At 39.8% G+C, this 13,727-nt stretch overlaps 1 protein-coding gene across 14 annotated transcripts in view, besides 3 other annotated features; it reads right to left on the bottom strand.

The window, feature by feature from the left end:
* Positions 1–13,727, bottom strand: part of GPR141 (G protein-coupled receptor 141) — a 60,070-nt gene that overhangs the window by 23,045 nt on the left and 23,298 nt on the right. For 2 of the 14 annotated variants that reach the window (XM_011515374.4, XM_011515375.4), the window contains exons 4-5: positions 10,992–11,073; positions 5,023–5,063 (exon numbers count right to left, since the gene is read on the bottom strand). The exons of 8 other annotated variants lie outside the window; for them this stretch is intronic. In XM_011515374.4, coding sequence (XP_011513676.1) covers positions 5,023–5,063; positions 10,992–11,073 — 123 coding nt within the window. Of the gene's footprint in view, positions 1–5,022; positions 5,064–10,991; positions 11,084–13,727 lie in introns of those variants that run through there. 4 more of the 14 variants (XM_047420330.1, XM_017012163.3, XM_011515383.4 and 1 more) reach the window with 3 other exon arrangements.
* Positions 1,660–1,769: an enhancer, noted in NCBI's record as "active region_25861". NCBI's record gives its function as "activates an Ori minimal core promoter by ATAC-STARR-seq in GM12878 lymphoblastoid cells {active_cell/tissue: GM12878}" and the evidence as "EXISTENCE:reporter gene assay evidence [ECO:0000049][PMID:35858748]".
* Positions 2,060–2,119: a silencer, noted in NCBI's record as "silent region_18105". NCBI's record gives its function as "represses an Ori minimal core promoter by ATAC-STARR-seq in GM12878 lymphoblastoid cells {active_cell/tissue: GM12878}" and the evidence as "EXISTENCE:reporter gene assay evidence [ECO:0000049][PMID:35858748]".
* Positions 10,563–10,612: an enhancer, noted in NCBI's record as "active region_25860". NCBI's record gives its function as "activates an Ori minimal core promoter by ATAC-STARR-seq in GM12878 lymphoblastoid cells {active_cell/tissue: GM12878}" and the evidence as "EXISTENCE:reporter gene assay evidence [ECO:0000049][PMID:35858748]".

The following is a 13,727-nucleotide window of genomic DNA, read 5'->3' as shown; positions in this document are numbered from 1 at the left end:
CAGAGAGGGTTCTGAACCCTTTTCTTAATTTCTCTTTTTTTTTTTTTTTTTTGAGACGGAGTCTGGCTTTTGCCCAGCCTGGAGTGCAGTGGCGCAATCTCAGCTCACTGCAAGCTCCGCCTTCCGGGTTCACGCCATTCTCCTGCCTCAGCCTCCTGAGTAGCTGGGAGTACAGGTGCCCACCACCACCCCTGGCTAATTTTTTTGTATTTTAGTAGAGAAGGGGTTTCACCATGTTAGCCAGGATGGTCTCGATCTCCTGACCTTGTGATCCATCTGCTTCGGCCTCCCAAAGTGCTGGGATTACAGGCATGAGCCATGGTGCCGGCCTAATTTCTTTTCCTTTTTGAACTCTTAAGTACTTAACTCTCTGCTTTTGTTGAAACTGGAAACTACACTCAGAGATTATTATGGTGTGCTCAATTCACATGCTCAGCTCCAGGAAGACCTAGCCCAAGGTGGGCCATGTAAAGCCATTGATGGGCACCAGGGTCTGGTATCTCTAAGTGCCTGCCGCCCTGTGCCCTGTGAACCCAGGATGAGTGCCTGGGGCAGGCCCTCTTTTGAAAGTGCCAGGCTTGAGTCATGGCACACCTTTTCTCTGCCTGCCTTCTGCCCAACTCCTGGTTCACCTCCCAGGCCCTGCTGAGTCCCAAGCCTTCCTGAACCCCATCAATCTCCCGACACCCTGGAACCCTTTTCTTTCATGTCGTTGCCCTGGCAGTAGTTTAGATGTTCCTCTTTGACCAGTAACCCTCCAAGACTGGTCACCCCTTCAGAGGCTGGTTCCAGGCTGGCCCTGACACTCTCTGGGGGCTGCTTTCCCCATTATTCCTGCTGCTCCCCATTTCCAAAGGCTGCCCTGGCTCCCCCATCCTTGCCTTATTTCTAATGGGATCTCTGGAAGGATTCAAGCTCCTCCTCACACTCTCATTCCCTCATCTCTTCCAATAAGCTCATTCCCTGCTGTATCTCACAGGAGTCGAAGGAATGTTTTTCAAAAAAAAATTCCTGACTGGGTGGAGAATCACTAATTTCACTCATTTCCTCAGTTTCTCACCTAATTCTCAGCCCCCTTTTTCTGGTTTTCTGCTCAGCTGCCTATGAACTGTACATTCTAAATATGGCCAAGGCGAACTCTAAGATTAGACAGTTTAGTCCCTTACAACAATAACTCATAATTCGCAGACGTGTGTGGCAAAGGTGAGTGTCAATATTTTTGAGGAAAGGAACTAAGTTGCTAGAATCATTTTGATCCTCCATATAAGATGGGAGAGGACCCATCTGTCAATTATTAAATACAAGATGAGATCCATGTTAGAATGGTTAGAAGAAGCTACTAACCATCAATGCTGGATGAAGGAAGAAGAGATGCAGATATCCAAGCATTATCAGGAAACTTCTTGCCAAATTGAAAACTTGCAAGATACAAAAACTTATCACTGAGTCTGATGGTCAGACAAGATGACTAATCCCAAGAGTGTATGATTTGACAAAGCCCTGGCTTTTGCAGTCATATCTTACCACCTCTCATAGCTCACACAGACTTCCACCTTAGGCTCAATCAACACAACTGTCTTGTGATAGTGCTGGTTACCAAGCAGCCAAAGGCATTTGTTTCCGGGTCCAACCTTTGATTCTGGCATGGCAGAACCAACCAGAACTGTGTGGACATTTTTAAGTATAAACTGGCCATGCTCCACATCACAGCTTTCCCAGGTCACAGGAGAAAGCTGAAATCGTCTGGTGAAACTCTTCACGCACAGGCAAGAAAGCTTATTCTTCTTGCCTCCATAATGCCCTCCAACCCTATCCCCCACCCTGCAACACATATACACGCACACACAACTTATCAGGGAAGCCTAAAATAAAACAAATGTGAGCCCTGCTTAAGATACTGCATCTTCAGTTCTATGTCGCTGGTGTGCATTCAAAGCCTAACAGAAGCCCTTGGTTAAGGTTCAATGAGCCAGGGAGATCTACATAGGCTCTATCACCCTTGTGATCTCAGAAGAGCAATTGTTAAGTGGATGTAGACAGGGCTCTAGTATCAGTTTCTCTCTCATTTATGCTCAGGGCAAATGTTGTTTCCTTTGCCAACCAGTGGCTTTTTCATGCATCTCCATAAATGAGGATAGCTCAATTTGTCTTAAATCAAGCTCATCAGCAGAAATGACTTTCTAACCCACATTTTCTCTAAACCTTCTTTTCTAGAATCCCTTCCTTCTTTCTTTCCTTCCTTCCTTCCTTCCTTCCTTCCTTCCTTTCTTCCTTCCTTCGAGACAGAGTCTCACTTTGTTTCCCAGGCTGGAGTGCAGTGGTTCATAGCTCACTGTAGCCTCGAACTCCTGGGATCAAGCAATCCTCCTGTCACAGCCTCTCAAGTAGCTAGAGTAGCTAGGATTACAGGCACACGCCACCATGCCTGCTAATTTTTGTAGTTTTTGTACAGATGGAGTCTTGTTATGTTGCCCAGGTGGCCTTGAACGTCTGGCCTCAAGTGATCCTCTCACATCAGCCTCTCAAATCACTGGAACTGTTTAATTTCTTTATAGCACTTATACAATGTCTATCTGTGAATCTATTTGCTAATTCGCATATGAATTGACCATTTTCCTCACTAGACTATAGTCCCCATGAGGGTGCTGAGAGTGACTATTTAGTTCATCACTAGCATGATACTAGATACCTAGTAAACACCAAATACTTTGCTGAACATTTGCTGAATTTAGGGCTTCTAATCACCCTTACTAGTTATAAACTTTTTAACAATTCTAACTTTCAATATAATTGACTTATTTCACCCCAGAGAGAAGAAAGAATACTTCGCAAGGCAATTAGACCAGGGGATCCACTTCCTGGTACATTTATCACACAATTATATTTAACAATTATACTCATGAGCAATGTAAACAATCAGATTTAAGATATATGTGTTTGCCCAAGAGATGTATAAAGATTGTTCAGTAACGAAGGAGGGACACACAGTAAAAGAAGAGCAGTCCTGCCCTCAAGGAGCTTATAATTTAGTGAAGGAGACAGATGCATGTTGTAGAAATTCATGAAGGTAAAATAAGATAGTGCATCAGAGCATTGTTGTGGGAGAACAAGCCAAACTGGGAGAAGGGGGAATCTGAGAAGGCTTCATGCAGGAAGCTGGTTTTGGAGTGACACTTAAAGGCAGAAAGGATTTAGTACACAACAAGGGGGGTGAGAGAAAGAAAGAGGGGGCAGAAAATGTCAGGGATGGACAGCATGAGCCACAAAAGGCAGGCACTGATATGGAAACGTTTGTTAATGAACAAAGTGGTCTTCTCCATTATGGTCTGAAATGCATCAATCAGCAAATACACAACCTCCACCTAGATTTTGACTATCTACTCCTCCTTTTTCAGAAATGTCCTCAATCCTCTTAACCTTTGGGGGAAAGGGAGATTTCAATAAGAAATATATTTGCAATTATCTTTTATTGGTTCAGTTTTAGGCCACCTACTTTAAATGTAGAAGAAAGAAACTGAGCTTTCCTTTTGTAGCTTTGAAAACAGCTTTTCATTCTTCTTCTCGCAAGCCCTCATGCATATTTTCTGAACCACATTCCCTCATAGTGTCTATTATGTATTTAGGAAATGAAGCAAATTTTCACCTTAGTGGAAGACACACATAATTAGCAAGGCCTATCTGTCCTCAGATGCACCCATGGTTTGGACATGGCTTGATTCTCTTTTGATCATATCCATCCTGTAAATTTGAGGCTCTTAGATAGAGGACCTCTCACCTATCTTCCTGGGAAGCTTACATAGAGCTGAGCCCTTTTAAATGCTCACAACACCCTCAGCCCCTTGGCAGGCACTTTATCCATCTCCAATCTGTAAAGGAAAACCCTCCCCTTAATACCTAGAAACAAAGAATTTGAGTTGAAAACTTAGCTGAAAGCTCAGGTATTTTGTGTCTTCTTTTAAAGCAAAAGAGATATAAGTAAACAAATACAGTTGAAACTTTATTCAGAGATAGAAATTCTTAAGAAGGAATCAGATAAGCTGACAGAAAATATACTTTGCAATACACTGGTTCCCTGAGCAAACAGCTAACTCAACAAAGAATATAGAAGTTACCATTTTTCAGCCAACAAGAAATTATACTTTTGTCCACACACTTCTGATTTTTTGACCACACTTATTGGAAAAACTGATCCCAAGTAAAACAGTGAAATTGGGTAATTTTTGTTCTTTGGAGCCCTATATTTTCTACTAAAACCCTGGGCATTACCTCTCCTCATCTTTATGTCTATCTTATTCCCTAACAAGTCTTACTCTCCCTGTGTCCCAGTTTCTCTCAGCATCATATCACACAGAGTTAAAAAAAATTCCTAAGTACCCCTTCTAGCTCTAAGAAATCTTTCACCCCCTTTGAAAATTTTCCATTATTTGTACCAAAAAGTAATTCTCCTTCTCACTCTAATAGGTAGTTGCCACTTTTATGTCACAGCATTTCAGGTTTTGATTATAGTTATTAATTTAGCTCCTCCCTCTCCATAATAAATTATAGGCAGCCTGGACAGGAACTATGTCTAATTCTTGTCAGTTTCTCCCACCGTTCTTAGCAAGCGTGCTCTCTAGATGCGTCTTTGAAAGAATAAATGATGTTGTGGACAGCTGGGTTTGCCTGGCTCCCAGACTCCCATGTCTGTCTGCCTTCCTCAAAGCCTGCCACTTCCATTTCAAGATCCACGTCATTCTGAAAAGTTGACTCTGTCTCAACTCCAAGGATGGGATTCTTGACTTGGGCTATGTTAAATGGAGTAGTGCATTTCACCCCCGCCTCACCCCTAATCACAATTACTAGTTTGGGCTGCACATAAGGCTTATGGTGGTTTAATCAGAATGAATTTCAGGACTCGTTTCAGGAAGGGTGTCAAAGGCAAATTCTCTTGTTTTAGGTAGTGGAATGTGTGCATTGGCGGCCTACAAATGCTGCCACCATGTTATTAACATAACAGAGGTCAATATTTAAACTAATACTCACCTCCTGACGCTAATACCTGCTGGCCACAGTCTTCTAGGGATCTGGTAGAAGAACAGTGTTTTAATATGAAAGGAAACAAACAAAATTTCCTATCAAATTTTGAACCCATCAAAGCCTGACAACCAAAAAAGCTAAATTAGAGATCTATGCAGTTTGCATTATCAAAATGCCATTGTTTCTTCATCTGTAATATGGAACTAACATTGCGATAAACTAAGTAAAGCACCCAGCGTAAGACTGGATGCTGAACAATCACTCCATAAACATCATGTTTCCTTTCCTTTTCCTCCTCATCTAAAGGTTTGGTTTTTTTTAAAGGAGGAAAAAAAACACTATTTAAAGGAGAAAATAGACTGGGCACAGTGGTCCCCAGCACTTTGGGAGGCCGAGGTGGGAGGATTGCCCAAGGCCAGGAGTTCCAGACTGGCCTGGGCAACATAGTAAGATCCTTTCTCTACAGAAATAAATTGTAAACAAGAATTAGACACGTTTGGTGGCTCACACCTATAGTCCCAGATACTCAGGAGGCTGAGGCAGGTGAAGTGCTTGAGCCTAAGGAGTTCAAGGCTGCAGTGCGCTGTGATCATGCCACTGCACTCCAGCCTGGGCAACAGAGTGAGACTCTGTCTCTAAAACACAATCAAATAAGATAAATAATAAATAAAAAACTTTAAAACCACTAACATATATCAATAGCCAACAATTCTTGTTAATAATAAATAAAAAACTTTAAAACCAGTAACATATATTAATAGCCAACAATTCTTGTTATAACATGTTTTGCAGAATTCAGGATAAAGACAAATAATATCCAGAAAAGAAATGCTATTTTCTAACTTTCATGAAGATAAAACTAACCCAAATCAGGACTCATAGGGTTTTTTGAAACTCCTAATGCTTGAGACACAGATGAATGGGAAGCCATTGCAAAGAACATAATAGCTTACATCCTGTTTCCACACATCAAAGTAACTGCCATGGCGTAACAGTGCTTGCTACACGAATGGCATATGAAAACAACATGAAGAAAAATAAACATGTTTTTGGACCATATCTTTACAGTAAAACATATTCATTGGAAAGTGAGGACAATGGAAGGGAAGAAATTTCAATTGGCTTTCTTCAAGGTTATTTAGATAAATTGAAATTAGTTTGACTTCTTTTTGGGTTATTCTTTAACTTAAATTGTCCAAGAAGTTAGGTAAACGACCACTAGTAACAAGAGTCCCAAGTTATTCAAAAATCCTTTTATAAACCCAATACTCTAGAACCTAGTGGGCCGTATGGCTGCATAGTAACTATCCTCTGCCATCTTATTTCTATGTTATTGCAATGTGAAGAACACCCATGCTATTATTATTCCCAAACTCTTCCAGAACTGTATAAAGAAATATAGTTCTTTAGGTCCAAGTTCACTGGCTAGTTCCAGTAGCAAAATTATAGACTCTCACACCTTCGATTACCATGATTAAACATAGTAATTGAAATAAGAGAAGAGAAAAATATACAGAGTCTGCATCCCAGTCCCTGTAAATCTCTTCACTTCAAAGTACTAGTCCCTGCAGCTTTACAGAGGATAATAATAACACGTGTTTCCACACTCACAGGCTCTCAAGAGAATAAAAAGAGATGGCACTAACACTTGCCACCCAAACATTCTTTACTACATCTCAGAGAAAAATCTAAAAACTCAAGTATATGGGTAAGAGGACGGGACATGATGAAAAAAAAAAAGATAAGTGAAAAATAATAGAAAAACCATTGGCTTCATAGCCAAACCAAACTATGTGAATTCTGATCTTATTACCATTTCATCCTTAAGCAATGTATTTAATCTTCCTGAGTTCAGTTTTGTTTACATAATGGGGATTGCTCAATCAATACTGCAGTATTGTTGTAAGGTTTAAAGGAGATGACAAACAGATATAAAGGATTTAGTGTAGATTCTTCCATTAGAAGGTTCTCAATATGTGGCAACTAAAATTACACAGGAGAGAAATAACGTCTCAGTCACGTAAATATATAACTGATGGGTATTCTGCAGAATGAACTGGAGGCTTTTTCACAGCAACTTTAAAGACATAGTATCTTTAAAGTGGCAGAACAATTGCAGATATAGAGTCTGAGAATTTTAATTGAGTAATACCATTCAAGGCAGACAAGTATAGCTTTGGAAGCATGAGGAACACAGAAAAGAATTAGAAGAATCTATACACAGAGAAGCAAAATAATTCTGAATAACACCAATCAGATTTGGATACATTGACTAAAGTGTTTTAACAGTTTATTCATAGGAAAGCATTATAAATTAACATCAGGCCAGGCACAGTGGCTCACATCTGTAACTGCAGCACTTTGAGAGGCCAAGGTAGAAGGATTGCTTGAGCCCAGGAGTTTGAGACCAGCCTGGGTAACATAATGAGATCTCTAAGAAAATAAAAAATAACAATAAAAAATTAGCATCAGAATCTAATGGTATTTTATCTAAATTTTCTTACATGTATTTCACTTAATTGATAACACATGGTATATATTTGTGTTAGGGACACTATTTGCCCAATTCTTCATGCACTGCCTATATGAACATTTCCTGACATATAACTTTGCAGTTTCTTCCACTGTAGGAGCATAATGTACTTCTGGCCCTCTTGACCCTGTGTTTGGCCAGGTGACTTGCTTTGGCCCATAGACCAAAGTGGAAGTCACAATGTGCTAGCTTGTGGCTCTGGCATTAAGAGATGGTGTTTCTGTACATTCCCCTATGCCTCTATCATTACCATGAGAAAAACATGCTGGGCTAGCCCCTGGTTTTAAGAGGAAGATGAAGACACATGAAGCAAGTGAAATCATCCAGGACAGCCCAGCTAGAGTCAGCAGACACCAGACATGGAAGCAGGCCCAGCTGAGCTCTGCAGAGCCACCAAACTCAGCCTTGACCAACTGGCTGACCCTCGGCCAATACACAGGTCCATAAGGATAAATGATTGCTCTTTTGTGCTATTGAGTCTTGGGATAAACTTATTAGGTGGCATTTTGCTGGCAGTAGCTAACTAAACACAATGTTCTTCAGAGGCATCTTATGTATCTTATTTTAAAATTATTGTCCCCATCTGCTCATGCATTGCCACCAGAAGGGCAGCCACTGTTTCTCATCTTTCAGGTATCAGGTGTGCTTAAAAACAAAAGGCCTTTGATTCATGACCTGGTGTTCTTGACCTGAGGTATTACCTGGAGAAACAGAGGGGCAGGTAGTGTGAGGAGTAAATATCAGTCTAGCATCATTAGTCCAAACAGAAGCAATATTCAGTAGGCAACACTGATCACTTTATTACCCTCCTTGTCTTTGTTTCTTTCATCCTCTTTATTACTTGACCCACCCAGCCCTCAGACATACACACCCTGGGTCCCTTAATTCTTGGGTCCTCCTCCCTATACCATATACCACCGATTCAGGCCAGCCCAGGAGATATGGAGGTGAATAGTCACTGTTATCAAGGGGATCACAGGTGGGAATTTGATTGCTTCTCTCTTGCTGTGTACCAAAGGCCAGCCAGTTTCTCAGTATCCCAGGGATGCCCCCACCCACTCTCCCCCTTGGGACTTCTCTCTAGAGCAGATTCTGTCTCCCTGGGATCTGCCTTTTGGATTTTCATATTTCCCTGTTAATCAAGTAACGGGAGATGAGAAACTCAAATACCCAGGGAGAGTTACAAAGCTTCTAGCAACTTTAAAATCCTAAAGGTGCTTCCTGGACTTAGATTCCTGAATTGTTATGAAATGAAGGTATCTCCCCTGACTTTGAGGGCATCTGTCATCTATTTTTACCATACAGACAGGACTGAGTTTTCTAAACCTCCAGCACTCTGGCTGCAACAAATTAAACCTGGAAGCCGTTACTCGAGCGAATCAGTGTACTCTTTTGTCTGGAGTTTAAAACTTGCACCTCTGGCATAACCTAGGTATCTAGATCACTGCCTGTTCAAGAATGTCTAAACAGATGCAGTAGGAAGTACTCAGGGACAAGAGAGGGATACAGGCAAAGGCTGTGGGATTTCAGAGAAAGGTTGCCTCCAATTAGGAGATTCACATAAAGATACCTAGCAGTGTTTGCAACAGGCTTACATTGAGATCAGTGGCTTAAATTCGTCTGGAGAGGGAGAATCTTTCTTAAGGATTTGATTTTTAAAAGGAGGAGTTATCTCAAAGGAATGAACCTATGATGAAAAATTGACAACCCCCAGTAGTAGTGAGGCAGCTGAGTCTTCTCTATCTGTCACATCAGGTAGAAAACAGCCTGGTCAACCCACAATTCACCTGCTCCTGCCCCATGACTTGATTTTTCCACACTTACTCCCATGTAGCTCAAAGTGAGTTCATCTCTACTTTAGCAGGGCTGTAGCCAAGAAGATGCTCCCGTTAGCTGTTATTTAGGCAACACGTAGATGGATTAGTGCCACTAAATCAGTCAGTGCACTGGCAGCATCAGCATCACCAGGGCCCCACCCAGACCTGTTGAAACAGAGTCTCTGGGGTGAGGCTCAGCAATTGGGTTTTAAGAAGGCCTCCAGATGATTCCTGGTCATATTAAATTTTGAGAACCATTGATTTAGATCACCTTGAGCAAGTCACCTTTCCAGCCTTAGTGTATCTCTCTACAAAATGAAGAGATCAACTAGAATGATTTCAGTAGACCCCCGTAGCTCTGTGATTCTGTGATTTTAATTTAAGTAACATCAGTCTCTCCACTTGCTTTATTTTCTTTTTGATTCATTGATGTTGCAGAGTATAAAGGAAGATTTTGAAAGCCAGGTCACATGGTAAGTCATCCCTATTCTCACCCAAAAGAACCTAAAACACTATCAGTTACAGTAATCACACTGAGTATTTAACTAAGAAGATACAGAACTCTGATACTCAGGAGAGAAAAAATGTTGTACTGTTATATAAATAAGTAAATAGCAATCAAAATATTGTGTGTAAAATAAAAATACCCTCCTATTACTTTCTAGCTCTGTCCAGAAATAATAACCATCAGAGTTGCAATAAGCGTCCCTGGCACTCAGACTGTGGGCATTTATTTAAATACCATTTCCCACTAAAAGTACCATTTATTTATACTTATTAAAGTGAGTACAACAACAAATCAACAAATGCAAGATACAGATCTTGTGTGGAACCCAATTCAAGAAATCAACTGTAAAAATATGAGGCAATCAGGAAAATCTGAACAGTAGTTGGCTATTTGGCAATTTTAAAGAATTTTTGGGCAAGATGATAGGTTTTTCAAAAACCATCTTGTAGAGATATATACCAAAATATTTATGGATAAATGATATTACATCTGGGATTTCTGGGATTTTCTTCAAAATTATGTAGCTGCAGGGTTGGAGGGGAGACAGAGTAAATCACTCAGGGCAGCCTTGCATGGAGTCTATGTAGTTGCATGTAGCTGAGTAATGGGTACATGGGGTTTATTGCTCTCTACTGTGCTACAGATTTCAAATTTTCCATAATAACATTTTTAAATTAGTAATCTAAGAACAAAAGAGTAAGGGCAGAAAAAAAATACCCAAAAGAAAAAAAATCCAAACAATAACAAAAGATAGTTCTACTTCCATTTTCTATTATGAAGAGTGAGATGACTAAACTCAATGCCTCAAAAGGAAATGTTGCCTGTGGGGCATCCTCCAGGTCATCACGTACTCTCAGTTTCTCTACTTGCAACCCATTCTTGTTTTACTCTTTGCAGAGAGAGCTTCATGAACAGAGAATCCATGCTGTGAGAGAATGCTTACTGCGGGCGTGCAGGGAACCCGGCAGGCATTTGGCAACTGTTCATGCAATGAAAAATACTCAAAGTGGAAGAAAGAGAGGCAAGTTGACAAACAACAGACATCCTTTAGTCCCTGCTGCTGTGATCCCAGCTCTTGTATGCAATACCCAAGCCTCCCTCACCCTTGAGTACTTACCTTGGCCCATTGAGAGTCACTTTGCCATTGGAGGGAAACATCCAGTTAAGCTGCCTTTTACAGGGATTTCTTTTATCCATGTCTTTAATAAGTTGTGTGGACAACGTAAAGTGACCATGCAAAGTGAAAATTAAAACAACAATATCTTTTAATCTATAAAATTGGTGAATTAAAATATTGTGACAATCTTCAATGCTGGCAAGGCAAGGTGATGTTGCTCATTAGAGCTGAGCTTGGTACTACTTTCTAAAAGTCACTTTGGCCATATGTGGCAAGATCACTAATAGCAATCATGCTCTTTGGGGTGGTAATCCCTCTTCTAGGAATTATGAAGAGGGATACCAGCAATAGGTACAAAATACATATACTATATGCAAGAGATTTGTTAACAATAAGTTAAGTAAATTATGCTCCACTCACATAATCTACTATGCCATTAAAATGATGTTTACTAAGAATATTAAATAAAATAGAAAATTTCTGTGATAAAGAAGACAACCCTGTATGCACACTATGATCTTTACCAAATAATCCAAATATATTTATTTATTGGAAGTAACTGTACCAAATATTTAAGCATTGCTGCTTTGGGCAGGTGGATCATGAATAATTTTTATTTCTTTCTGTGTACGATGATCTCTCATTTTTCTGCAATAATAATAAGACTATTTTCATATGCTTTTCTAATATACCTTCACCATGCAAAATTATCCTATATTTCTTAGTTGCCTAATGACAGAAACAAAACAGTCTTAGATGCACTCAAAATAGGTGCTATAGCTTGTGGATATATATATAATTTTACTCGGCTTAATTAAAAATATAGTTTAATAATACCTCCATTTCAGAGTCATTTAGCACATAAATGAGATATTACATATGAAAAAACCTTCATAAGCCTTTACATACGCAGTTCGCTTTGAATGTAAAATGTTGAGAAGGCTTGAGTGAGATGTCAAACCTGAACACACATTGTAATCTATGAAATGTTGTAAAAATGGTAGCCCCTATGACTTATTTAAATGGGTGCTTTAAGGAAAGCATTTGAGCTTTGATACCTTATTGCTCTTCTACACTCTAGGTGGCTCTTACATAATGAAGCTAATAGTTATGCATGAAAGGACCCTGTCTGTACGAGGTCAGTATCCTATAAATGTCACCCTGATTTCCCTCTTGAGTTTCTTGGAGTTATGTGCCTCTTCCCAGAGGAAACCCCTGACTTTACTGTATGTACAGCATGATATTATTGCTCTCAGACAGGATGCGTACTCATTTTTCCCAGGTCTTATAAGGTCAGCTTTAGCTTTCACCACTCTCTGAACATGGCACCTTATTGGGACACCACCATTCCAGTACTTCTTCTAAAGCATAGAGGAAGAAATGTGTCTTCCTAGTACAAAAAATAAATTCAAGAACAACTCTCTGCTTAATTCAAATGCAGGCTGCTTTTGGCCAGCTTTTGCGTTTTTTTTTTTTTTTTTTTTTTTTTGCCAGCAATTTGTCAAGAGGCAGTATGAAAGAAATGCTGGCAAGACTAGAAATGCTCACAAGACCAGATTCTGAGCTGAGCTCAATGACTAGATTAGTCATTTACCTGGATTCAACCACATGTCCTCATCATGCTTCAGTATGGCCACTTATAAAATTTTATCATTACATCTGTCAGGCTGCTGTGACGGTTTCAATGAGCTAACTTCTATATCCAAAGCATCTGAGAGGTCACATACTAGCTTAGAGGTCATATACACTCCAATGTTCTCTTCAATTTAGGAAATTTCTTTAGCATCTGAAAATTTCCAAGGTCAAAATATTCACACTCTGTTTTGAGAGGCAGTCTGTGGTGTTGTTAAAAATAGTTGCTGGAAAGTCCTTTATCACATTGTGCAGAAATCTGCCTCCCGAGAAAAACCCTGTCGTAGCATTGCAATGTAATTGTTTTTCCTCTCTAGCTGGTATTTCCTTGTCAACTGAATATTCCTATTTTCTCTCTTTGCTCCCAACCTCCATCTTCCTCTGTGTCCTGTCATCCTTTCTTGTTCAGGCAAGTAACTAAAGTTTCTAGTGTAGTATATGACTATAAGCGTTGGCTCTAAAATCTTGCCTTTATTATTTACTAGCTGGGCCATCTTGGGCAATTTACTTAATGTCTCCATAATTTATTTTCCTTATCTGTAAATTGGGGTGATTATAATGTTACCCGTTTCATAAAGTTTTTGTACTTATAAAACACATCATAAGACTTGGCATAGAGTGTACACTTGATAAATGCTTATTGTTGATGAGAGTGATAAAGATAGTATGGTTTTCAGTACCTTCCTCAGAGGGCCAGGATATTTGGACACTGTAGTTCATCAATGACCTTCATAAATTATAATGCCACAACTAGAGTCATAAAAATGTTACAATCAGGGAAGCTCAGAGTACAGTGGGATATATACCACTTGATTTGAATATTAGCTATCTGAAATTGAGCAAGTTGTTTGACCTCTCTAAGCCTACATTGATAAAATGGGGATAATGGTAATAACGGTATCTACTTGTAAGGTACAAACTATGTGCAAATTACCATTCTCAGCACTAAATTTAAAAATACTTAGAATTGTCTTGGCAAGAAGTAAACATTCTATTATTATGTAGACGTTCTGGGAGGTTCAGGACCTGAGGTTACCCTGCCCCTGAGAAATCCCACAAGGCTCTGACTACAGTTCTGTCTGGCTCCACCACCAGACACTTTTT

The sequence above is a fragment of the Homo sapiens genome, chromosome 7, assembly GCF_000001405.40.
Source record: "Homo sapiens chromosome 7, GRCh38.p14 Primary Assembly".
Classification (NCBI taxonomy): domain Eukaryota; kingdom Metazoa; phylum Chordata; class Mammalia; order Primates; family Hominidae; genus Homo; species Homo sapiens.
This window is presented reverse-complemented; position numbering and strand designations above follow the sequence as displayed.